The sequence below is a fragment of the Homo sapiens genome, chromosome 4, assembly GCF_000001405.40.
Source record: "Homo sapiens chromosome 4, GRCh38.p14 Primary Assembly".
Classification (NCBI taxonomy): Eukaryota; Metazoa; Chordata; class Mammalia; order Primates; family Hominidae; genus Homo; species Homo sapiens.
The window spans coordinates 174,063,246-174,090,948 of record NC_000004.12 but is presented as its reverse complement, the minus strand read 5'-3'; the positions used below and the strand labels follow the sequence as shown (position 1 = coordinate 174,090,948).

The 27,703-nt window shown below is 38.0% G+C and overlaps 1 long non-coding RNA gene across 2 annotated transcripts; it reads left to right on the top strand.

Moving 5' to 3' along the window:
• The first annotated feature begins 709 nt into the window (after nt 1-709).
• On the top strand, nt 710-26,858 carry LOC107986204 (uncharacterized). 2 transcript variants are annotated; one of them, XR_001741466.1, is made up of 3 exons: nt 710-1,265; nt 15,076-15,214; nt 26,010-26,858. It is a non-coding gene; the product is annotated as an uncharacterized LOC107986204 (long non-coding RNA). The 2 variants fall into 2 exon arrangements; XR_001741465.1 differs by having other exon boundaries at nt 15,076-15,237.
• Nucleotides 26,859-27,703: the final 845 nt, after the last annotated feature.

The window sequence follows — 27,703 nt, the reverse complement described above, 5'->3', positions numbered from 1 at the left end:
AGCTAACTTTTAATTACTTTATTTTTTATTTATTTATTTTTTGTAAAGACAGGGTTTTGCTATGTTGCCTAGGCAGGTTTCAAACTTCTGGCCTCAAGCAGCCCAGGCATGTGCCAAAACATCTGGCCCAGTTTTCTTTTCCATAAGGTCTTTGCCTGGTTTTAATATCAGTGTACTAGTGAACTCTTCAATTTTTAGAAGAGTTTGTATAAAATTGGTATCACTTGTTCCTTAAATGTTGAGAAGAGCTCACTAGTGAATAAATCTTTCTTTTTTCTTTTTTCTTTCTTTCTTTCTTTTTTTTGAAACGGAGTTTCACTTTTGTCACCCAGGCTGGAGTGCAATGGCACAATCTCAGCTCACTGCAACCTCCACCTCCTGGGTTCAAGTGATTCTCCTGCCTCAGCCTCCAGAGTAGCTGGGATTACAGGCATGTGCCACCATGCCTAGTTAATTTTTCTATTTTTAGTAGAGTCGGGGTTTCACCATGTTGGCCAGGCTGGTCTTGAACTCCTGACCTCAGGTGATCCACCCGCCTTGGCCTCCCAAAGTGTTGGGATTACAGGCGTGAGTCACTGCGCCCAGCCAACAATCTTTTTTTTTTAAACAAAATTATAGCAAAACAAAATTTTTAAAACTAAATAATATAATATATTAATAAAATACTAATTTTATTTTTCTTGAGAGAGCATTGGTAGTTTGTGTGTTTCATGAAAACCATATGTAATTTTAATTGCTTATTTACTTGTCTTCCCCATTAGAATGTTATAGACTGTTCTTGGGAAGGGAGCCTGTCTTTTATTTTTGAGATTCTAAAGCTTAGTAAATATTCAATAAATAGTTGTTAAGTAAATGAAGAAAAGGATAAATTTTTAGTAGGGCCATCAGGAGTTTCATGGGAGGAAATTCGAGGTGGATTGTGAGGGATTAAGATGAGAGAAGGAGAAAAAGCCCACAAAGAAGGGATAGCACAAACATAGGAGAGGCAAGGGGAGGGCGCGATTAGGGAATGGCTGCACATGCCTCTTGGAGTATTGAAGTAGAAGTTAATCTGCGCTAAGATAAGCCAGAACTAAGTCCAGGGGTTTACTGATACTGGACATCTGTTTACATTGGGAAGCCACTGAAGGTTTTTGAGGAGGAGAGTTTAAGAACTGGTTCTGTGTTTAAAAGGATGCTTCTGGTGATACAATGTGGGACTGATTAGTGAGGACAGAGACAAGAGGCTATGCAAGCAGTTAGGAGGCTGCTGCATTATTACTTTGGTGAGTAACAATGGGGACACAAAATAGGCCATACGATAAGTACAGGAAAAAAAGATTTCTTCAAAGTGGAATTCATGAGACTTTTTTCACCTGAATGAGTGGTGAATGAAAAGATGAAAGATAATCCTAAATTCTGAGTGGATGGTGCACCATCAACTAAGATGCAATTACAAGTGGAAGGGCAGGTTTGCCAGAGAGGACAGAGTCTCGCTCTGTCACCCAGGCTGGAGTGCAGTGGCTCGCTGGGTTCAAGCAATTCTCCTGCCTCAGCATCCTGAGTAGCTGGGACTACAGGCATGCAACACCACGCCTGGCTAATTTTTGTATTTTTAGTAGAGACGGGTTTCACCATGTTGGACAGACCGGTCATAGCCTGGTTGGCTAAGCACAACCACAGCCAAACAGAGCTTTCAGAGACTCAAGAAAAGTGATGAAGATTTTAGAACCACACCCATAGTAGTAAAATTCAAAACTACTGAAATAAATGAGAACAGTGAATTTGAAGAAGCGCATGGAATGGGAAAAGTCTTTCATGTACGTAGAGACAATAATAGAAAGTTGATGAAGTTTTGGCAGAAAGAAGGAGAGCCAGGAAAGCACAGAAATGGGATTGTCTTTCAAGAAAGTAACTTGGGAGGTGGTGTAGTGGAGTGATTTAGAGTCTGGAGCCAGGAGTTAGAAAGACTTCCTGTTGAATCTCTGCTTTCACATTTGTAGGCTGCGTGGCTTTGAGCAAGTTATCTGGCCTTTATCTGTAGAGTGAGGGCAATTTTATAATCTATCTCATAAGACAGTGGCCAAAAATAAATGAGAAATGATGCCCTTAAAGTGCTTCTCATATTGTATGGCATACAGTAAGCAATCTGTATTAGCTACTATTACCAATATTAGTGACAGATCCTTTGGGAAGGTTAAAAAGAATGAGGGGCATGCGGATCTGAGATCTTCTCTGGAGGCAAAGGCAAAGATTGCAGGCCTGTAGGAATTCCTCTTACGCAGATGTAGAGTTTTCAAGTCTTTTTGCAGTAGAGTCATCTTTATACCTGTAGAATGTTTGGATGGGGCGTGTGTGTGTGTGTGTGTGTGTGTGTGTGTGTGTGTGTGTGTACGCACTCATGCATGCACCTGAATAAAAATGGTTAATTCTAAACAGGTCTGATAATTTCTATAAAAAGAGGCTCCAAAGAAAATGTCAGGAAGGCTACTTTTTTCTCTGGAAAGACTGATGAAGAAATGCTTCAAAGAAATGAATCAAAGGCAAATGCATGCTAACTTGGTTTCATTTCTTTGCTGAAAATTACTGAATGTTGTTTTATCACAGTGTATTATGCTTGTTTTTATTTCTTTAAAACAAATAAGTAACTTGGATTTTGATTGTGATTTAAACTTAAGCCCACGTGGCTTATGAAATTAGCCATTTAATCAACAAAGACCAGATGACAGAATTTTAATGTTCAAATAGAATTATAGAATTAAAGATTAAGTCAGTATTGTTTTTAACATTTTTATTTATTTGATAGTCTTATCAAATTAACATTTATAAATGTTTCTGTGGAGTTTGGAAAGGAGACTGTGAAATATCAGATACAATCTCAAAATTTGAGCATGGCTTTGGAAAATGTGTCTTAAACATCATTGACCAACCTGGCCAACATGTTGAAACCCTGTGTTTACTAAAAATACAAAAATCAGCTGGGTGCAGTGGTGGGCGCCTGTAATATCAGCTACTTGGGAGGCTGAGGCAGGAGAATCACTTGAACTCAGTAGGCGGAGGCTGCAGTGAGCTGAGGTTGCACCACTGCACTCCAGCCTGGGTGACAGAGTGAGACTCCGTCACAAAACAAAACAAAATCATTGATATGTTAGGAAAGGCATTTTGATCAGAATATAGTTGCAAACATAATTAGTTATTCCATACAGTGCATACATAATTTACACACATGCCTATGGTAACAAGTTCCTTTTTATAGGGAATGTGCATAGAGTATCCTTAACCAGCAGTGAGCTTTAAACTTTCAAGGCGCACACACAACCGCTGACTTACCTTTCTTTCGACTGGGTCCAAGCTTATCTCAGCAGAACTAAATGATTGACTGACTTCCTCCCACGGCCACCAACATAATGCCTCCAGAACTAAACCCTTAGTTTCACTCTGCCGGATAAAAAACATAGAAACAAAAGCTATTTTAAACTTTCTTCTTTGCTAACCGATCAATGCCCAATAGCGGAGCCTACCTTTGATTACTGATGCGGGCCTACTGTGGTCATCAAATATTGTACAATAAACTGTTTACATAGCAGCCCCCTTTACAGCTTTTTAGATCTTCCCAAGCTGCCAATTTCTGAAGCTCAGCCTGCCAGCTGGCAGACAGAGAGGTGCTTGTGTTCTAGTTGATGGAGGTAATTAACAGCCTAAACTGTCAGAAGGTGACAGCAGGCAAAAAGTTCTTGCCCTGGGGTCACAGCTGGACTCCAACAACTTACTCCTGATTTACCAGTAAAACTAATAATGTAAGTAATATTGGTATTAAATTATAAAATCAAGGGTCAAACTGAAATTCTGGTTTGTACCACACATTTACTGGCAGCAAATTAGTGATAACGTCTTGCAGGGACTTCCCTCCTAAAAAGACCCCTGGAAAAATGAGCACGTGTCTATTTTGGCAACAACATGTGGATTTTGATAATACGAAGAAGTGAAATGGTGTCTTTGATTTATCTCAGCAATTGTAGCTATGACTAGGATAATCTTTTTTTTTAACGTTTAAGAAAACCAAACTCCCATGAAGTAACGGATCATGCTTAGATGATAAGCATCAGCGTATACTTTTACTAAATTTTGCTTTGCAGTTCAAAAGTGAGCAACACTTTTTATTCATAATGTTATATTTTCCTATAGTGAGCCTTAGAGAGTGAGAGAGAGAGAAAGAGAGGTTAGATGGATGGATGGACAGATAAATTCAGATATACGCTTGAATTATTAGCATCCTAAACGTACTTTTTTCATAATCTTGATTTTTAAGGAATAATCATCATTATTAGAAACTTTTCAAAGTTTTAAGAAAAAATTGCTTGGGGCTTGCCAATTTGAAGCGAATCCTGGCTTCCCAAATTTTATTATACCTTCCTAGAAAAGGTCTCATCTGATGTTACAAGGGAAGTAAGCAATTGCCACTTCACATAGAAATTTTCTTTCACATACCCATAAATTCCCGGAGGCTCTGTGCCACCGTAAACTTGTGATCTAACAAATAATTGTTAGAGTTGTTTATTTATAAAATAAATAGGCTGGGTGCGGTAGTTTACACCTGTAATCCAAGCACTTTGGGAAGTTGAAATGGGAGGATCCCTTGAGCTCAGGAGTCTGAGACTGCAGTGAGCTATGATCATGCCACTGCACTACAGCCTGGATGACAGAGTGAGATTGCGTCTCTAAATCAATCAATCAAAAAAAATACATAAATAAAAACAACTTTTTAGGTTTATCAGGAAAATTACATAAGTATGAAAATGTAAGTTTTCTGAAAATGAGTCATGCAATGTGCTTAGTGATCTAACAGTGGATCTATTTAAAACACATTTGCAAACCAATAAGCTCCTTTGAACTACAGTTCAATACCTGGTCTCAGACGTCTAAGAGATGGAGTGTAGAAATCCAGAATAAGAAACCTAACAGGTTATCTTGTTTAACTACCTTATCTTTGGCATCTGAATAAAGTAAAATGTTAAGCTGACTCAAGTGAACAATGGTATTATTGACCATATATTTTCATGTCTTTTTGCAGATTTAAAGGTTTTATTGTGGTCAACTTAATATCTGCATGTTTGTTAAATTTCTGAATACTGTGTAATTAAATTGATTTTTTTGTGATGGTGATTAGCGCATACCAAAAATCCAATGAAACAATTATTTCTCTCTTCTTAACTGGAGATCATATTTGTGAGCTATGGTATCCATTATCAACAGTGTATTCATGATTCCATTCATATTTTGTGTATCTGATTATAAATTTCATATGGCATTTAATTTGACACAATATAAATCCATTTGAATTGACTATAATGGTGTGTGTGTGCATGTGTGTGTGTGTCTATGGTGTATGTGTGCGCTTTAGTTTCATGAGCCTTGGGAAAATGATTCTATAAATATATAGATATAAATGTATCAGGCTAATTTTTTTGCAAAGCAATGTATGCATTCCTTTCACTTATTAAATCACTGGCTTTAGTGTTTATGTAGAGATATCTGTAGACCTCAGAACAGAATTAAAACATTGTGAAAATTATAGCTTGATAAATGTGTACTGTAAAAATAAATCTAATTTGTTGACTACACATTACAACACTGTGTTAAGAATGCTGAGGGAGAAAAATAATTTTAAGATGTAGTTTCTACTGTCTAAGAAGTTTAGTGTCAAGGTGGAGGTAGAAAGAATACAATTATAAAAATAAGTAAAAGCATGATACTCTAAGATGTGGCGCAGGCAATGCACAGCTTTTTGGATAAGGAGTCAGCTGAGAAAAGGCCCCGAGGGAGGTAAGTTTGAAATGTTCTGTGTAGATAAGGGATGAGCTACCTTGAAATTTGCAAAGGTTACAGGTAGATATGTCAGGTAATGTGAAATTGTAAGGAGTTAGCAATTTATTCTATGAGAACAATATTCCATTGAAGGTGTATTAGTAGGGAGTAGTTTGATCACAGGGCTATTTTAGGATGATAATTTTAGGACAAATTTTGTAGGAAGTTGATTGGAGCAGTAATTCTCAAAATGATTTTTTCCCTGAACTTGAGGAGTTGTTACACTCTGATCAGTTAACCGTGGTTTATGGCAGGATGATTGTCATGGGGAATGGTGGCTTCTTGCTGAATGTTGAAATCACTGACATAGAGGAAGAAGAGATTTCCTTTAATAGTAAGCATTCCAGTTCAGGAAGGAAGTGATGAGGCACTTAACTATGGGGTGAGAATAATGGGAAAACTGGAATAAAGGATGGATATGAGTCAGTTGAAAGGGGAATCTAAAGGAATAACTCTGAAGTCTGGAAATAGTATATGAGATGAAATGAACACTTGAAAATTATAGTGATGAGTGGACAAGTAGAAATTGTTATATGTGTTCAATGATTGATAATCTTGTTCCTTTGACACACTAAATGCTCTCACACATTTTGTGCCACTTAAAGAACCATATAGTAGCTTGTGATGGTACCTTCATTGACTTGTCCTGCAAGAATCATATTCCTCACCACAAAATTCTACAGCTTCGACTCTAAGAATCAATCGCTGTTATTGAGTGCCCACTCCTTATCCTAATGCTGGATTCAGGAAATACTGAGAAGAAATCTCAAAAATCTGGATGGGGACATAAGACATTTACTTTTACAAATGTCGAGCATCGTATAATAAGCAGAAAAGCACCTGTTCAGAAGAGGATGCGCTTTAAGTACAGGTTGCCAGTGAGAATAACATAGACTAGGGAGCAAACATTTGAGGGAGGCTTATAGCCACAAAGGTGAGACCAGAATCTTCTCAATTTGCCCGGATTGAGAGCAGTGAATACCACACTGTGAATTTTAATCTACAGCTAAAGATGTATCGTTTTCCAAAAAGGGAATATAGCGATAAAGACCTTCTTGAAAAATAATTTTGCAGTGAAGTGCAGAGTAGACTTTACTGGGAAGCAGTAGGAGATGGTGAGATGGTAAGGATGCATCTGCCACAGTTGTGTAACAGTCATGTGTATATGGTATATATCAATATCCTGGACCTGCCTTGGCTTCAAGGCAGCTCAAATGTGTGGGCCTGGGCCTGTGAGGTGTCTAGCAAGGTCTTGGTTTAGATGATGGCCAGAAGTTCAGCCTAATTGAGTGCAATCATGACAGCTGGGAACCATTCTGACACATTCAAGCTTAAGCTGAGATTTAGGAAGCTCAATCCCTAATTCAGATAGCACGTCCTTGAATGTTGCTGACCCTTCCTGAAACAAAACATGCAAGATAAAATTTCTTAGCTTTTTATAGAGCTTAGCATGTAGTGATTTCAATCCCAAGTGAAAATTATAATATTGATAAAGGCTTTTCCTAGGAAATATATTTTATGAAACTGATAAGTAAGTGTTGGAATTCAACTAGCCTAACCCTTCAGATGATTGCATAATTTTCTTCCAATGCACTTCCAAAGCTTTTTTATTATGGCAAGTTTGCACACAAAAGTAGACAGAACAGCAGAATGAGTATCTATGAATCAATTGCATAATTCCAATGCTATCATTTTGTCAAACTTATTTCACCTATCCCCTTACTTTTGTCGAAAGGGAGGGCTTTTTTTTTTCACAAAACAAATTTCAAACATCATATTATTTCATCTAAAAACACTCCAGGCAGGAAAAACCCACTATTCTTTCACTTTACTTATCATATTTTAAAATAAGCACCTTAGGAATAATAAATCTTTGCCTATTGTATAAGTAAGATTTTCAAAATTGTATTATGATTTGTTTTTTACTTTGCTTGTGCTTTTATTTTTGTCATGCAAAACTTTCAGGTATGAATGTATATATGGGTGTATTTATCTATATGTATTTATATTAACATTTATCCATCTTTTCCCTTACTGATTCTAGATTTTGAATCATAATTGTGAATGTTGTCCCCTTTCTCAGGCCATAAAGGAGTTAGCCCATGTTTTCTTCTTGTACTAGTATGGTTTCATATTCTACATTTGAATATAATTAGTTTGGATTTTATCTGGTGAGAAAAAGATACAGTTCTAAGTACTCGCATATGACCATGCACTTGATGATTGAGACCCTTAGACAGTCTTCTTTTTCTCAGATTCATCTAAGTCTACAGAATCTTTATTCCTGCTACTTCTCCTTTGCTTATCTTCAGTCACTGTGTGATATGGTTTGGGTCTGTGTCCCTGTCAAATCTCATGTTAAATTGTAAACCCCAATGTGGGAGATGGGGCTTGATGGGAGGTGATTGGCTCATGGGAGCAGGTTTCCTCTTTGGTGCTGTTCTGGTGATAGTGAATGAGTTATTTCAAGATCTGGTTGTTTAAAAGTATGTAGCACCTCCCTCCACCTTTGTTGCTCCTGCACTGCCTATATGAAGAGATGCCTGCTTCCCCTTCACCTTCCTCCATGATTGTAAGTTTCCTGAGGCTTCCCCAGCCATGCTTCCTGTACAGCCTGCAGAACCATGAGCCAATTAAACCTCTTTTCTTCATAAATTACCCAGTTTCAGGTATTTCTTTATAGCAGTGCAAAAGTGAGCTAATGAGGCTGGGCGTGGTGGCTCATGCCCGTAATCCCAGCACTTTGGGAGGCAGAGGCCGGTGGATAACTTGAAACCAGGAGTTGGAGACCAGCCTTGCCAACACATTGAAACCCCATCTCTATAAAAGATACAAAAATCAGCCAGGCATGGTTGTGCATGCCTGTAGGCCCAGCTACTTGGGAGGCTGAGGCAGAGAATTGCTTGAACCCAGGAAGTAGAGGTTGCAGTGAGCTGAGATCACCACTACACTCCAGCCTCCTAGACAAAGTGAGACTGTTTCTCAAAAAAACAAAAAATGAACTAATGATACAGAGACAAATAGTTATATTGTTGACCTCCAAAGAGCTTATAACCCACGTGGGGTTATAGGCCATTAGGCAGACAATTGCAATATAATCTATAAGGCCCTAGAGTAGTGTTATGTATGGACTACTCCATGAGTATATGAATTAAACCTAGATGGCAGAAAGTGAGGAAAGGCTTTTAGGAGGACATTCAATCTCCATGATTTTTTAAAGGTTAAATGTGGGAATCAACTAGAGAAAGTGGTGTTGGGGCCATGGGAGAAGACTGGTTTCCTGCCTGAGGAAGCAGCACATGTAAAGATAGCATCCAGAGGCAGAATAATGTCTTCAGAGAGTGCCAGCAGTTTGTTTTAACTGTAGAGAACACAGAACTCAAGACATGATAACAGATTATTTTTATGGAATGTGTACTATGTGTGTGCCAGACACTGGACTAAGGGCTTTATAAGCATTACCTCTTTTAATCCCAACCATATTAATGCAACACTAATATTACATTAATTATTTTACAGAAGGAAAAATTGAGAAGCAGGGACATAAAGTGAATTCCCAGAACCACATCTGGTGTTAGAGCCAAGATTTGTACCTAGACTGTCTGGCTTTAGGGCCCAAGTTCTTGATGGCTCCACTGTATTGCCAGATTATGAATAGCCTTGAAGAATATAGTGGATCATCAAACGGTTTTCAGCAGAACAATGACATATTTATACTATTAGAAGATGCCTCTGGATGCAGAGTGGAGAATGTATTAAAGAGGCATCAGTGGGTGTGTGGAGCTCGCTTAGGAGCTTAATGGAACCTGAATGAGAAATGTGAATTCAAGAGTTGACCTAAGTGGTAACAATGGGGATGGAGACACATGGATGGAGATATTAAATAGCTAAGACTTCTCCACTAGGTGTTTATGGGTTGACTGGGAAAAAACCCTCTGGCTTGGGCAGCTGGCTGGATGGGGCGCATTAATTCTGAATGTTAACTGATGATACTCTATAGAAAAAGCCAGAACGTAAGATATTTGGTATCGTGATAAACAGATTACACTGTTGTATGATCTGTATATGATCATTTGGGCAGCAATGTAGCTCTGTTCATTATAATATATTAATGTTTAGTGCATACATCTATCAGGTAATACTGTTTATTTTGGCCTGAGACATGTTACCCAACAGTTACTTAATAATAGAACATACATGGCAATGACCAAACACAAATGTTCATTGGAATTCCACAGGTTGCTGAGGCTGTCTTTCACAGTTCCAATCTTCTAACACCTTTTAAGTTTGTTATCTCCAATAGTATCTGATCCTCGAAGATATCCAGGGAAGCTTGTTGGGGATTAATTTTGTAGAATTAGAAGTGCCACTCTTTTGTTAATTTACTGTTGGACAAACATGTCAGAATAAATGCCAGCTTTTACCATTAGGTTAAAGAGGGAATTTTCTATTTACAAAGCAAGGCTTTTCAGTTGCTAACCACTTGTACTTACCAAATATGGTATTTGTTTAGCACATGTTTTCTTGTGAACATCCATGTCTTTGTGACTCAGTCTAGGCTGTTGCAATTTGCTCCTTACCAGGCTTTAGGAGAAAATGTAGTAGGTAAAGAGGATAACTGTTCAGTCATTTAATGTGCTTTCATGTAGAGCAGTGGTTCTAAACAGTTCCACAATCAGATTTTTAAATATTAATTTTTGTATTCTCTAGGCACTTCAAGTTTTTAAACTATCTACCAAACTTTATTTTAAAGTTATACATTTTATTTCCACTGTGTATCAGAGAGTATTTCAACATGAAATAACCAGGGTTACCCAATTAGGCAATAAAATTCCAGTCCAAAGCAAAGAAACATAACATTAGAGTTTGTGCAACTCCATTTCGGTAAATGTAATATTTCAATTAAAAATATTCACAGTTATTCACTGTTATCAGTTAGGATTCATTATGATTGAACTCAACAAGGCCCAGAGTAACAGTGGCTTAAAATATGTTTATTTCTCTTCAACCTAGTATCTCAAAGTAAGGATTTCCAAGGCTTGCATGACTGCTTTGCTCCATTAAGTCATAAGGGAACTATATTCACTGTACATTGTGCCCAGGTGTGGTGGGCTGTCCTCAAAAAGATCTTAGGCCTCAAAAGATATCAGGTCCTGAGAATCTGTAAATGCTACCTTATTTGGGAAAAGAGTCTTTGCAGGTGTGATTAAACTAAGGATCTTGAGATGGGAAGGTTATGTTGGATTATTCAGGTGGCCCCTAAATGCCATAACCTATATCCTTATAAATGAAGGCAGAGAGAGATTTTATAAACACACACACACACACACACACACACACACAAACACACTGAAGGCAGAACAAGTTTGAAGATGCTGTACTTGAAGACTGGAGTGATGTGGTCACAAGCCTAGGAGTTCCCGTCTTGAATTCTGAGTTCAAGGAATGGATGGATTCTCCTCTAGGACCTCTGGAAGTAGTGTGGCTCTGGATACCCGGATTTTGGCCCAGCAATCTGATTATTTCTTGCCTCCAGAACTGTGAGATAATAAATTTTTGTTTTTTTAAGTCATCAAGTTTGTGGTAATTTCTTATAGCAGATACAAACGGTAATACCCTAGGGAATGGTATATATTCTCCATGTTCAAGAAAACCAAATGTCTCATTCACCTTCTAAGCAGGACTGTGTAGAAAGAGGAAGGCATTTATTCATTCATTCACTTCTTCATTCAACAGATATATATATGGGGAGCCTGTTATATATTCGACATTGTTGTGGATGTTTGGAATACATCTATGAAAAACACAAAGACCCCTTTCTTCTTGGGACACATATTCTAGTAGTTGAAGGCAAATATAAATAAACCATAAAAATAAGCACATTTTACTTTAGAAGATGAAAAATTCAATAGAAAAAAAAGTAGAGCAGAGTAAGGGAGATTGAGAGGGCCATGCAGAAGTTGGGGTGAGTTGCAGATCTAAATAGATTGATCGTGGTAGGGGTTGTTGAAAAGGTAGGATTTCAGCAATGACTCAAGAGGGTAAAGGTTTGCCAGTAGATTATGAGGAGGAAGAGACTTCCATGCAAAAGAAACAGCTAGAGCGAGGACTTTGAGATGTGGGAATGAAAATGCCTTTTATGTTTAAAAACAGAAAGAGGCTAGTGTGATGGAGCACAGTGAAAATGGTAGAAGATGAAATCAAAGGCAAGGAGGCGATGATCCAGGAGGACCTTGCAAGTTATAGTAAGATCTTTGGCTAGTCTGATGGGCAGGCATTGGGTGGTATAAGCTGATAAGTGGCATAATGTGATTTAACCAGTAAAAGTGTCATTCTAGCTGCACTGTTGAGCATTCTGTGGGGATCAAATATAGACTCAGGGAGACCTATCAGGGAATTATTGTAGCAATCCAGAAAAGATATTATAGTGATTCGGATCAGAGTTGTAACAGTACAGATGGAGGGAAATGGTTGATTTCTGGACAAGTCTTGAAGATAGAGCCAACAGTTTCTGACAGGAATAAAAGATGACTCCAAAATTTGGGGTCAAACAACTAAAAGGTTGGCATTTTCGTCAAGTAAGATGGAAGTGATATGGGTGGAGTGAGATTTTTGTTGTGGAGGGGGAGGGAAGGACCAGGGTTTCAATATGGTTTGAGCTGTTAGACATCTACGTGGAGATGTCCAGCAGGTATTTGAATATATGAATCTGGGAGAAAGGTTTGAGAGGGAGATATTTTGTGAGACTTTTGCTTCCAGCAATATCAGACAAGCTTATTTCAGACCAAAAGTCCTACCAATAATAACTAGAAAATCTAAACAAAAATTTAAAGTAATTGTCTGAAGGTGTTGATTATCTACCAAAGCAGCAAATATTCAGGAGGATTTCTTTAAGCAGAAGTGAAATGATCCAGATGGAACCATGTAGCTGCATTAAGAAAAACAAGCAAAATAAAGGGTAAATATTTGAGTATATAGAAATGAAAATTAATTGTATAAATTGCTTTAGGAGTGTTAAAGCAAACTAAATATGGCCTGAGAAGGACTCTGTACTTTTATATTTGAGTTCTTGTGGACAAACTGCAACCTAACTTAGTAGGTAGACAAGATTGAAACCCTAACTTTGGAGTATGTGCCTGTAACAGTGGCTGAGTCTTGGTCAGTCTTATCAGCCATATTTCAACCATAAGCTGCTGAGTGTTCAAACTGTGTTCAAATAAGGTAAACACCAACCTGCAACCAATCCAGCTGTTTCTGTACCTCACCTCTAATTTCCGTACATCATTTTTATTTTTGTCTATAAATTTATTCTGACCATGAGGCATCCCTTGAGTCTCTGAGAATCTACTGTGATTCTGGGGGCCTGCCTGATTCACAAATCATTCATTGCTCAATTAAACTCCTTTAAATTTAATTCAGCTGAAGTTTGTCTTTTAACAGGGGGTTTGAAATATATGTCAATTTAAAATACATAAGAATAATTGTACAACAAGTAAGCTAGGTAATTGCAGTTATATTATTTTCAGCTTCTAGCAATATCTGGAAAGTGGTAAATGCTAATTTATATTAGATTTTAATAAGTCAAGGATTCATGCTGTAATCTCTGACTAATGACTAAAAATATTAATGTTACCAGGAAGAAACAGAATGATAAATAAGATGAGACAAAATATTTAATTAACCATAGAGAAAGTAAGAGAGGAGGAAAATGGAATGTCAGACACGTTGGATGCAGAAAAATAAATAAAAAGCAAGGCATTGATTTAAATCCCAATACAGCAGGAATTATATTAAATATCAATATAATAAAGACTCTAATTAAAAGGCAATAATTGTCAGACTCCTTAAGAAATTCAACTATGTAATACTTAATAGATACATGCCTTAAAAAAGGAAAAAAAAGGATGGAAAGTCACACACAGTACAAACTAACCAAAGGAAATCTGATATATTTAAATGAATGACAAAGTTGATTGTGGGCAAGAGACATTACTAGAACTGAAGAAGGACATTTTGGAATGATAAAATTTTCCATTCAGTAGAATGACTTATGAATTCTGAATTTGCATGTACTTAATACATAGCCTGAAAATTCATAAAGCAAAAATTGATGTAACTAAAAGGACAGCAGAATATCCACAATATATTTGAAGATTTTAGCAAACATCCCTCAATAACTGATAGAACAGGCAAGAAAAAATTATAGGGTTATAAACACAATTAAGTTACTTGATATAATCAATAGATACAGACCACTGTACACAGTAACCAAAGAATGCCTATGCTTTTCAAATGTATTTTAAACATTTGCTAAAATTCATCATAAAAATACTAAATTTAAAAAGATTAACTGGAAAATCTTCAATATAATCCCCAACGTAATTTTGCAGAAATATATGGGGCAGCAAAACATAATTGCAATTAGAAGATATTTAAAACTGAATAATAATGAAGATATGATATATAAGTACAAGCATACTTTATTTTGTGATGCTTTGATTTATTGCACTTTGCAGATATTGTGTTTTTTACAAATTGAAGGTTTGTGGCAACGCTGTGTTGAGCAAGTCTATTGGTGCCATTTTTCCACTGGCTTGTGCTCCCTTTGTGTTTCTGTGTCACATTTTGGTAATTCTTGCAATATTTCAAACTTTATTGTTAGTAGTATTATATCTGTTATGGTGATCTGTGGTCAGTGATCTTTGATGTTTTTATTATAACTGTTTTGGAGTACCACAAACCACACCCCTATAATACAGCGAACTTAATCCATAAGTGTGTGTGCTCTGAATGCTCCACTGACAGGCTGTTCCCCTATCTCTCTCCCTCTCCTCAGGCCTCTCTTCCCTGAGACACAAAGATATTGAAATTAGGCCATTTAATAACCCTACAATGACTTTTGCGTGTTCATGTGAAAGGAAGAGTCACATGTCTTTCACTTTAAATTAAAAGCTACAAATAATTAAGCTTGTGAGGAAGACATGTCCAAACTTGAAATAGGCTGAAAGCTAGGCCAAACAGTCAGCCAATCATAAATGTAAAGGAAAAGTTCTTGAAGGAAATTAAAAGTGCTACTCCCGTGAACACACAAATGATATGAAAGCAAAACAGCCTTATTGCTGATATGGAGGAAATTGAGTGGTCTGGATAGAAGATCAATCCAGTCACAATATTCTCTTAAGCCAAATCCTATACCAGAGCAAAGCCCTAACTCTCTTCAATTCTGTGAAGGCTGAGAAAGGTGAGGAGGCTGCAGAAGAAAAGTTGGAAGCTAGAAGAAGTTGGTTTATGAGGTTTAACGAAAGAAGACGTCTCCATAACCTAAAAGGGCAAGGTGAAGCAGCAAGTGCTGATGGAGAAGTTGTAGCAGGTAATCCAGAAGATCTAACTAAGGTAATTGATGAAGGTGGCTGAACTAAAGAACAAATTTTCATTGTAGATAAAACAGCCTTCTACTGAAAGAAGGTTCTAGTCTGTGGTATGGTGGCTCAGACCTGTAATCCCAGCACTTTGGGAGGCAGGGGTGGGAGGATCGCTTGAAGCCAGGAGTTTGAGACCTGTCTGGGCAACAAAGTGAGACCCTGTCTCTGTGAAAAATACAAAAGTTTCTATGGAAAGTCAAAGAGCCATGAATGTCTAAGACGATCTTAAAATGCTAAATAAAGTTTGAGGAGTCATTTCTCTTCTGTAAGTTAATATAAAGTTAATACGATTGAGACAGTGTAGAATTTAGGCAGACATACACAAATATACCAAAGGCACAGAATAGACAGTTCAGAAACAGACCACACACATAAGGATAATTAATTTATAAAAAATTGACACTGCAGGGCAGTGAAGAATGATTGTACTTGCAGTAAACTGTACTACATCAATTGAATATCAACATGGGAAATAAAGTTATCATTTAATCTCTATCTCACATTCTTTAGTCAGAGTTCTCCAAAGAAATAGAACTAATAGGAGATATATGTATACACACATATGCATGTTTATACATATATATTTATAAATTTATTATAAGAATTGGTTAATACAGTTAAGGAGGCTGAGAAGTCCCATGATCTCCTGTTTGAAAGCTGGAGACCCAGGAAAGCCAGTGTTGTATTAAATAAATGCCAGTCTGAGTCTGAAGGCATGAGAACCAGGAGCATCAATGAAGTAAGTCCCAGTCCAAGGGCAGAAGATCCATGTCTCTCATCAATGAGTCAGGCAGAGAGAGAACTTTTATATCCTATTTTTGACCCAGAAGGCACTGAAGTAATATTGTTAAATAAATAATAAATGCTTAGATGAGAAAAAAATAACTTCTAAAAGTTCGTTAGACAAATAATGTGCTAACCCTTCAGGAAAAAAATTGACAAATCAGACTCCACTAAAATTAGAAAATGTTATTAATCTAAACATACGATTAAGAAGATACTACAGAAATTGCCAGATGACAAAATGTTTTAGGTGTTTCAATATCTTGGTAGAAATTCATATTGCTTTAAGAATTTGGGCAGAGATTGAGATTTAACCTAGCTAAAACATTTAATTAATTGTAAAACAACAGATTCCACTGCAAGGAGGGTATTTATCTTGTCAGAGATTATACATGAAATTGTTCTCTCAGTCAAAAAAGCATAGATTCATTCCTACTGAGACATTAATACTATTTAATTTAAAAATTAATATGCGTTAGAATACTCCCATTGTCATGATCTCTTCTTTCATTGTGCCTTTATTTCAGAATAAATTTTAGTACTAAGGGTAAAAAATATGTTTTAGTTATTTCCTTTGTGATAGAAATTTAGATAATTTATTGGAATTATTGGCTATTACATAACTACATATAACTACGTAGTAACTTATGACCATTTCCATTACAAAGTTTAAGCTTTGCTGTCCTACATAAAATTGTGAGTAAAAGAGTAGCTTAAAGAATTCTAGCATCTATTTTTTCAAATTTTGATGTATGGACTTTATTTGACTTTAACAGAATTGGTTAGTTAACTATATTTTAAATTTTCTGGTGAGTTGGGAAAAGGGGAACAGAAAGAAGGTCTATTGAATCATGGCAAGATCTTTCCAATATATTACTGTGTTGAATCATTCAACCAGTCTGACTGTAGGTGCTATACTCCCATTGCCAAGAAGAAAAATTTGAGGCACAGAAGATTTAAATGTCTTGCCCAAGGTCATATAGCTATTGATAGGGACAGGAGGCAGGGAAATTCTGGGCAGAAGAGGGCAGGTCCCTGGTGAGGGCCCCACCCTTAAGCTGAAAAGCCTGTCAATGCAGCCCAAAGTGAGAACTTACATCCCTGTTTTCCTGCTCGAATGTTGCCTTTCCAAAACCACCCATGGCCTACCCCACCCCCATTCTGTGCCCATAAAAACCCCAGGCTCAGCCAGCAGAAGGAGGGGAAGTAGCTGGATGTCAGAGACTATGGTAGGACGTCAGACAGAAGAGTCTTTACTTCAGAGGGACAGCTTGACAGCGTAGCTTTGGAGAGGAGTCTGGCCATCCACGGGGAATCTTCAGGGGAAGATTACCTTACGGCTCCATCCCCTTTTCAGCTCCCCTTGCTGCTGAGAGCTACTTTCAATGGCAATAAAATCCCCCTTGTTTACCATCTTCAATTTGTTCATGCGATCTCATTCCTTCTGGATACTGGACAAGAACTTGGGTGCCATGAGTGCAGGTGCAAAATGTTGTCACAATGACCCTCCACTGAGCTGTTACCACTTAAGCTGTCCATGGACAGTAAAGCTAAAAGGGCACGGTAACACTCCTTCTGGGGCTTCAGGGGTCATGGGCACCTCCCCAGATGCTGCTGTGGGGCCGCACAGAGTTTTGCTTCTGCCAGTGCTCAAAAGCACTCGCCCCAGCTCCTGCATCCACTCACCTGCACACTCCCCGCCCCCCATGAAGGGTGAAGTGCAGTGGATCCAAGTGAGTGGAATTTGCCCCTGCCAGTGCCAAAGCAGCCAGCTAGTTCCAGCATCCCTGTACTCAAGTTCCCACCTGCAAAGGGGCAGGGAAATATCCTGCTTCGCTATTAAGTTGTAGAGCCTGATTTTTATTTTACTTTTATTATTATTTATTTATTTATTTATTTTTTGAGATGGAGTCTTGCTCTGTCTCCTAGGCTGGAGTGCAGTGATGCAATATCAGCTCACTGCTACCTCTGCCTCCTGGATTCAAGAGATTCTCCTGATTCAGTCTCCTGAGTAGCTGGGACTACAGGCATGCACCACCACACCTGGTTAATTCTTGTATTTTCAGTAGAGATGGAGTTTAACCATGTTGGCCAGGCTGGTCTCGAACTTCTAACCTCAGCCTCTCAAAATGCTGGGATTGTAGGCATGAACCACTACACCCAGCCTGAGCCTGATTTTTAAATCCATAGATGTGTAACCTTACAGTTCATGAAACTACTTTTGTCAAGGTCATTAACTTCTATTTTACCATCATCTGTCATCAGTTTTCTCTACCAGTCAGTAATATTTGGCAAAACTGATCACTCCTTCCTTCTTGAAATTCTTTCTTGTCTTGGCTCCCATAATATCAAATCATGTGGAGTTTCTTCCTCTCAATCACCTTTGTGGATTCCTTTTTCTTTTTTGAACCTTTTAATGTTAAGGTACTTTAGAGTTTAGTCTTAGGACTTCTCTGCATCTCTATTTATAATGTTTTTCTGGATAATTTCATCTAATTCCTCATGGCTTTAAATACCATCTCTGTATCAATAACTCTGGTCCTGATCTGGCTAGTTAGACTTGAATATCCAGCTACCTATTTTATATGCTACTTGGGCATATAATAGATAACTGAAACTTACCATGGCTGAAGCCAAATTTATTCTACCCCAATCAGTAGTCACTACCTCATTAATGCAAACACTATCCACCCAGATGCTCAAGTCCAAAACCTAGGAGTCATTTTGATTTCTCATTTCCTCTCATTTTCTACATCCAACCCAAGAGCAAGTCCTACCAACTGTCTCCAAGGTTCATTATGTTAGTCTTCTCTCCATCTTCACTGCCTAGTCCAAGCCAATATTACTACTGCCATCCACTCCCAATCAGTTGCCATAGCTGCCACTCTTGCTCTCAATTCTCTACCTAGAGGCTGAATTAGTTTTACATATTAAATTAGATTACAGTATAAGCCTACTTAGCTTCAATTACTGCCCATCCAACCTAGAATATACTTCAAATTGCTTATGGTTTTAAAAATGTATGATAACAACTGTACCTACTTCTCTGACCTCATTTAAATACTTTTCCACTACCACACTTGGAAATTACAGCAGCTTACACTGGATTCCTTTCTGTTGCTTAGTCACAACTTATTTATTCCCACTTGAAGTCTTCTATTTCCTATTTCTCCTGGTAATGCTCTATTCTCAGATCTTTGAACAGTGGGCACTTTCTTGTCACTTAAGTCTCAACTCAGATGTTACCTTTTTGGAGAATCCTTCCCTGACCTCCCCTTTCAAGTTGTCCTCCAGTAACTCTCTGTTACTTTCACTTGTTTTATTTTTCTTCTCTCAGCCTATTATGATCATTTATTTGTTTATTTGCTCATTCTCCCCTCCATCATTTTGGTGGATATCAGCAACTGAAAAAGACATTATTATAATCACTGACTTAATGACACACTGTTATCATTGGTCCTGAAGCATATCTACTTTTATCTTGCAGTTGTTAGAGTAGGCTTCATGAGAACAAAGATTTCTCTTACTTGCTGCTGTTCACCACTGTTTTCTCAACACTTAGCACAGTGCAACAGTGCCTGTTTAGTACTCGGTAAAATTTTGTGGAATAATGAAAGAACTAATGAATGCATGCCTTTCATAGTACAGGTTGGTCTATGAGGAAAATGAGACTTAAAGAGGTCAAATGATTTACCCAAGGCTATTAGTTAAGAAAGAGATGACCTTAGAAAAATCCAGATTTCCTGGCAGTCTAATGTGTCTTCTATGTCCCATCTTGCTTTTCAGTCTGACTAGATTCTGAGGATTTTCTGAAAGCCTTGGAAGTATGTTCTATTTTATCTTCTCAAAGGTATACAGTGTCTTGAGAGAATTAACATATAAAATTTTTTAATTAAAAGAATACAAACAGAAATATTTGTCTTATTATATTCAGGTCCTTTGTTTTTAAAGAAACCTAGAACCTATTCTTTTACATGCCAGTGATGCAAATTTCATTTAATTTACCCTGAATTAAGTTATTTTCATTCTTTCAGAAATGTTAACATTATTTTGAGTGAAGTATTTTTATCTTATAGAAGTTCATTGCTTTATTTCAGAGGTTTTAAGAAAATTCTATTTTGAATGTAAGAAAGCTCATAGTTCTGCAAAATAGAACCTATATGCAATTTGAAAGAATGCTTTCTAAAAATATGAAAAGAACAGCTAACACCACTTTCTGTTTGTGGTTGAATGATGGACAGCAAGAAAATTCTCCATGGACTAGAGTTTCCAAGGGGGTTCTGCAATAACCTTTTAACAGGGCTTTGAAAACAAAACCCCACTATTTATCAAGAAAGATATTTTTACTGTATTTTTATAAATATTCATCTGTAACAGTAATGATTCATTTGGCTCTTTTAGAATCATAGATCTTTTGAGAGTAAAAGAATTATCCAAGAGGGAGAACTAAATAAACTTTTGTGCATATGTAAGAAATGAATCCCAATTCTTCCTTGCTTCTGTTTCTTTTTTCCCCAAAAATTGTATAAATGAGGAAATAGTGCCAAGGACCTATTAGTAATAGTTATTTCCTAATTGCAGAGGGAAGCATCCTGCATGTTTAAATAAATATTGTTAACTCTGACCTCTCGCTTTGCCAGGACTGATAAGGCAATTGTTTGACCTATATGAAGTACATACAGTATACACAGAGTGGAGTGCAGCAGGAAAACAGGAAACAATAAATCAGAAATTAGAGCACTGATTGTTGTAGCTAATTACATCAGGCTTCTGCTTAATTTCTCACTCTGTCATGCTAACCTGATTTTCTTGCCAACAGACTTTGCAAATTGCTGGTGTCACGTACATTCAGCAAATAATAATCCTTAGTTACTGTGACTGACAAATGAATGAGCAGGAGAAGATAGTTTATTATGCAAGGATGAACTGAGACATTCACCAGATACCTGCCTGGATGCTTTTTTAATTCACTTACCTAGATGTGCTGCATGATGCATTTCTCCAGGAGCAGAGATTTTGGCATCAAGACAGTTTAATTAGATTTGTAGCTTGGTTTGATAATATTGAGCAGGAAAAAAGATGGTACTGTAGAAGGAAGGAGAGGGAAGGCATTGGTTTGGACAAAGCGATAAAGTAGTAACTTAGCTATTTAAGTCAAATCTGAAAATAATATGTTTAGAGTGAATGAGACTAGTCAGCACATTATTGAATCCTAATCTCGTCTGCGCATAGATTTGGTAGCTAACTTGGTATTTTTAAGCTATTATGGTTTGATTACTGAAATTCTAAACCACATGTATTAAGAAAGAGTGATACAAATGAGATGCTCCTATTCAAAATTAATTGTTTGATTACTTCTGCCTCTAGATAGTACATGCCAATTTAGTTTTCCATGATCCCAGTCCTGGTGTTGTCCATGTAGGCAAAAATCAACTTTCCTTTCCTGTATGATTTTACAAAATTTACACAGATTCCATACTTTAAACAACTTTACTATGGTTTCTAAAGATGGAATAGGAAGGACAGAATTAAGGAGAATTTGCACACTCTTATTATTTAATAAGTTTTCATATTCTGGGTATATTTTCTACTTTATTGTAGTGTTCACTGATTAGATCATCCAATTATAAAGCAGGCCCAGAGCTGGCTACAACTTCACCCAGGCTCTCTGCTTTTCTGGTGCTTAATAAAAACCATATAATTTTGTTTAGCTGAAGATACCATATATGCAAGTTCTTTTTTTTTTTTTTTTTTTTGAGACGGAGTCTCGCTCTGTCACCCAGGCTGCAGTGCGGTGGCGCAATCCCAGCTCACTGCAAGCTCCGCCTCCCGGGTTCACGCCATTCTCCTGCCTCAGCCTCCCGAGTAGCTGGAACTACAGGCGCCCGCCACCACGCCTGGCTAATTTTTTTGTATTTTTAGTAAAGACGGGGTTTCACCGTGTTACCAGGATTGTCTCGGTCTCCTGACCTCGTGATCCGCCCGCCTTGGCCTCCCAAAGTGCTGGGATTGCAGGCGTGAGCCACCGCGCCCGGCCTCAAGTTCTTTAGAATGAAAACTTTTCTCAGTTTAAAATCAAATGTTCTTCATCCTTCCATTTCCAATGAACTCTGCCTTACTTTAGTGTTACCCCTGCCTTACTTTAGTGTTATTTTCAGAGAAGAAGAAAGTAAATTCAGTGTAGGGATGCAAGGAGATTATAACAGAACCTTTCCCAAGTAACGAAGGACATGGCAGAGCTGTGGAGTCCCATTTTTGGAAACCACTGTTCCATTTGGTAAAGCCAGAAGAACGATTTAACTATTTACTTAAGTGTGTAGGTGATAGCTTACATTCCAGTGATGAAGTTGGAATGCAGGCCAATTAAGCAGCCCAGAAAGCTGTGGAAGAAGGGCCAAAAATGAAAGAGTAGAATATTGCCAGCATTGCTGCCAGCCCAAAGGTCAGAGGGAGCAGGATACTTCAGTCCTGTGTCTTTAAACTAATTCTGTGCATAAAATGTTTAAAACTCTCCAAATCCCAAGCTGACTTTCCCAGAGTCCTTTTTAATATAAATTTTTTAAATCTTTGTTCCCAGACAAATTTTATAAATATGTACATTAAGCATCTATTGGGTGTCTACTTTTCCACAGCGTGTTCCCCAAAGGGGAAAAAGCTCAATGCAGGAGAAATGTATCATCAAGACAATGCTCTCAAAAGTTAAAGAGTTAAGGAGGCAAACAGGTTTATAAAACAAGCATTAAGTAACCTCGAGTCAGAACATAATCTTCTAGATAACAGAAATATGAAGTATTGGCAGTTAGAACTATGGAATTGAAAGGGACCCAATTTTTCAGAGAAGACTTAGTGGGGGATAATTTGGCATGAACTTAGATGGATAGCTAGTGTTTGGATAGCTGAGGACGAATGGGGAGACATTTTAAGCAAAGAAAATTGATTAGTAGAAGTGGGGGAAATGGTAAAACTGGAGATAGAGAGATGAGTGATAAGAAAGAGTAGGAGAGAAATGTGATTGGATAGAGAAGGTGGGCCAGATACTGAGAGTGGCAGGAGGAGTGTACACTTAGCATTATAGGCAATGGGACCTCTCAGGAACCCCTGCGCTGGGGATTGATGTGTGAATAGGTCAGGGCTGGAAAGGCTGGAACCAGCACATCTAATGAGAAGAGTTAATGTTAAAACAATCCAGGTTTGATGTGACCAGGGTCTAGACAAGGTGGTGAGAGTGAGAGAGAAAAGAAAAACATAAATTCAGAAGCTCTTCAAAAGAAGATATTGGCAGATTTGATGAGATTCCATGGAAAAAAGAAAGGGGAGGAGGTTGAGTCAAAGATGAGAGATTTGGCTCCTGCAAGAATTATCTTGGCTTAAGCCAGAATGAAAAATTTGGAAGAATAAGTGTTAAGATGGGAAGATGAAAGGGCATCAATTTCCAAAGAGAGGAGGAGAAGGAACAGAGCTCTTTTCTGGTCTTAGCTGCCACAAGTCTTCCAGATGCCTCATTCTTGTCAATTGCAGGTATATAAACATGTATGAGCACAGCTTGGTTTGTCTGAAGCACATAAACTTGTCTGAGGACAGTGGGTGTGATAACTGTGTGAAATGTGTCAAAACTGGAAAGGTGTGTGCAGGACACGACAGCTGATGAAATGTTATCAAATGCTGCTCCAAGCATACCAGAGGCAGCATGGCATTTAGGGATTGGAAAGAAACTCCCACAAAGAACGTCGCCTGGGAGGAGTATTTCTTAGTTTCCTTTCCTCCTCTTTAACTCTAGTCGTTATAACCTTAAATGTGCTCCAGGACTCTGGTTCTTGCACCTGCCCAGCTTTGGTTTGGCATCTTCTGCCAGCTGTCTAGCTTGTGACTGGCCTGGCTCCCACTCTGCTTTTGCTCTAAATGCTAGGATTGGGATCCAGTGTCTGACCTCATCCCATCCCCTAGAGATTTGCTTTGCAGTTTCTACATCATCATTCTCCATTGGAAGGAACTCAACAGTCCAGAATAGTAGATGTATAATCTTCCATTTTCTCCCACTTTTTTCACACCCAAAACTCTCAAAATGGGATATAAAAGGCTAACACATTTGCTTGTCAGTATGCTTACTCCCTTCAACTCACTGCCAAATGGCTTGGAGCTAAAAATCCAAGTGGAAGCACTTTGCACTTTTTTCATGCATTAGCATCTATGACAGTTTCAAACTTTAGTGCAGCAGAAAATGGCATGAGTGTGAATTGTGTGTCTTCATTATGTTGTGTGAGTACAATAAGGAACTCAGGCACATTTCCTTATCCATGACAGTTCATATGAACTCAGATACTGTTTGTGGTGGTGAATAAATTTTAAAGATTCACATCAGTCCCCCAAGAAGAATCATTCATGACTACCTCTGATGGTAAGGGGATCCAAATGAAACCAAGATAACTTCTGAGGTTGACTTTAAATGAGCCAGTTAGAATTTTAAGGAGCCCAAGGCTTGGTTTGCAGTGTCCATTGATGCTAAAACTTGATGTGAGTCATTAATGGAATTTCATTTTTGACCTTGTTTAAGTGCCATTCAATATTAACAGAATTTACATAAAGATCAATGCATTGGACCAATCTTTGGATCTAGAGACAAGGTTGGTCAAGTTTTCCCGACTAGACCAACATTAAAGAAAAATGTTTTCCCCCCTTTTCCATAGAATTGAAAATATTCTTTCTCCGTGTAATTTTCACTGGTAAGTGATTTCCTGTAATTGGGGTACACCACAATAGTTCAAAGAAGTTTTGATTTCAATTATGATTCCCAGAATATTTAAAATTAAAGGAGCCCCAGCATCTTTCCATTTTTAAAAACTTAAACGTGTAATATGGTTGCTTTCTTGGGCCCTGATGACACCATAATGAGAATGTAACTAAAAGCATATGCTGCTCATTAGTGCGGCTCTGCCACACCTGTGCTGGCCATGTCTGTAAAAGGCTGGCTTACTGCCTTAGGAAGCACCATATAAAAGAGGTTGCTTCAGGCAAGGTCCCTCTTAGGAGAAGTATTGTTTTTTTCTCCTTAAAAAAAATTAGTTCTAATAGTTTCTTCCTATAATACCGTGAGAAGAGAAAGAAAGCAGCTAAAAGGGAAAAAGCACAATTCTGCCAAATCCAGTTAGTCCCCCTCATGAAGAAGCATTATTAATAATAGTTGTGAGCGTTGTACTTTACTGATTTACTGCAAGAGCAAAGAAAGCTCGATTTTAAGTGTTTGTGTCTGGAGATTTAAAAGCATATTTATTAGAAGCGGTGGTTCAGCTGAAGACTATAGAGGACTTCGAATTCTCCTCACCCGTCAGCTCCATCAACTACTTCTCTCACGCCCACACCAAGTGCCCCAAATAAACATGCCATTTCAGCAAAAGCCCTGTACTGACATTGCACATAGGCTTAAATAAAACCACTTAAAGAAACTCATTTCCTTCAATATTGTCATCCTAAAATCATTTCTAGGTAGGAATTCTGAAGCCATCACACACCAGAAAAAGAAATCTTGACTCAAAATATGGAGGTCCTGGCCAGGTGCAGTGGCTCATGTTTGTAATCCCAGCACTTTGGCAGGCCAAGGCGGGCAGATCACAAGGTCGGGAGTTCGAGACCAGCCTGGCCAACACAGTGAAACCCTGTCTCAATTAAAAATACAAAAAAATAGCTGGGTGTGGTGGCGGGTCCCTGTAATCCCAGCTACCTGAGAGACTGAGCCAGGAGACTCACTTGAACCCGGGAGGCGAAGGTTGCAGTGAGCCAAGATCGCAGCACTGCACTCCAGCCTGGGTGACAGAGCTAGGCTCTGTCTCAAAAAAAAAAAAAAAAGGAGGTTCTTGTGGAATGCATAAAATGGCAGTCTCTGATGCTGTCTTTGCAATTTCTTCACTTAATACTTTTCATTCTCCTCATTTTCCTTACTAACAGAACCTCATTTTCTTTTTCCAGGGGCACACCCAGCTCCAAGATCACCTTCCCAGGCCTCTCTTGCTATGACAGATGCCATGTGACACAGTTCTAGCCAATGAGAAGTAACCAGAACACCCTGGGTAAGACTTCTTGGAAAATTATTTAAAAAGGGGGAGCTGACTTTGCCCTTTCTCTTTTGCATAGCTAGGCTGAAAATATAATGCTAGATGTGGAACTGTCGTTTCGTGACTAGAAATAAAGGGTGTGAGAGACAAAACTACCTACTGAAGATGGCTGGATAGAAAGAGAGAAGAGATTCAGATCCCTGAAGCCATCATAGAGTCAACACACCATTCCACAGCAAGATATAATTCTTTTTGTGGAGCCGAATATATTCCAGGCTGATATTCACTGCTGAAAAATTCAGCAATGATTTTTTTCAGTAACATTACAGGACATGATAAAAAGCAATTATGCATATGTTCATATTGAAGTAGTAAATTTTCCAGGATAAGATAATTAATATTTATTATTGTGCACTTATTAGAGATATCAGGCACATATTTTTTATACCAACTCATTTACCCTTCAGAATTTCACCAGCCAGCAAGTGTGATTATCCGTCATGTTACAAATGGAGAATCTGATGTTCAGATAGGTTAAAAAATTTCTCAAGGATGCACAGTTCATGTGCCAGATCCCAAAGTCCATTTGCTTTCCACCATACAATATTGAATATATTCACTGTTATTGTGTTTCTTAAATGAATTTTACTTTAAAGATCTTTATGGTGAAAAATCTCAAAATGAAAGAAATTATAGAGGATTATAGTCTAACTAATACCATGAGGTCACTCTCCAACTTTAAAAATGTTTAGGCTGGGCGCAGCGGCTCATGCCTGTAATCCCAGCACTTTGGGAGGCTGAGGCAGGAGAATCACTTGAGCCCAGGAATTTGAGACCAGTCTGGACAACATAGCAAGACCCCATCTCTACAAAAATACAAAAAATTAGCTGAGCATGGTGGTGCATGCCTGTAGTCCCAGCTACTAGAGAGGCTGAGGTGGGAAGAGTGCCTGAGCCCAGGAGAGCTATGATCGTGTCACTGCACTCCAGGCTGGGCAACAGAGCGAGACCTTGTCTCTAAAAAAAAAAAATAGAAAAACAGGATTAGCATTTTGCTAAATTTGCATCAAAAATGTTTAAGAAAAGGAAAATATCTTAGATCTATTAAAAACCCTCTCTGAACTTTTCTAGTTACATTCCCTTCCTTTTCTCCCTTCCATTTCCAACTCTAAATATTGTCTTGAAGTTGCTCTGAGATCCTCCCATCTCAGCCTCCTGAATAGCTAGGACTACAGGCATGCGACACGATGCCCAGCTAATTTTTAAAATTTTTGTAGAGATGATGTCTCACTGTGTTTCCCAGCTGGTCTCGACCTCCTGGCCTCAAGCCACCCTCCTGCCTCAGCCACCCACAGAGTTGGGATCACAGGTGTGAGCCACCAAACCCCAACCAAAACTCTTTTTTTAACAAAAGACATTATAAAATAAAATGACAAGCCAGAATGCAATACATATGCATAACAATGCACAACAAAAAAAGAATTTGTATCTAAAACATTTAAAGAACTCCCAGGATTTAGAACTCCAAACATTTAAAGATACAGATCCCAATGGAAAAATATAAATATGGTGTGAATACATAATAGAAGGGGGAACTCAAATAGTTAA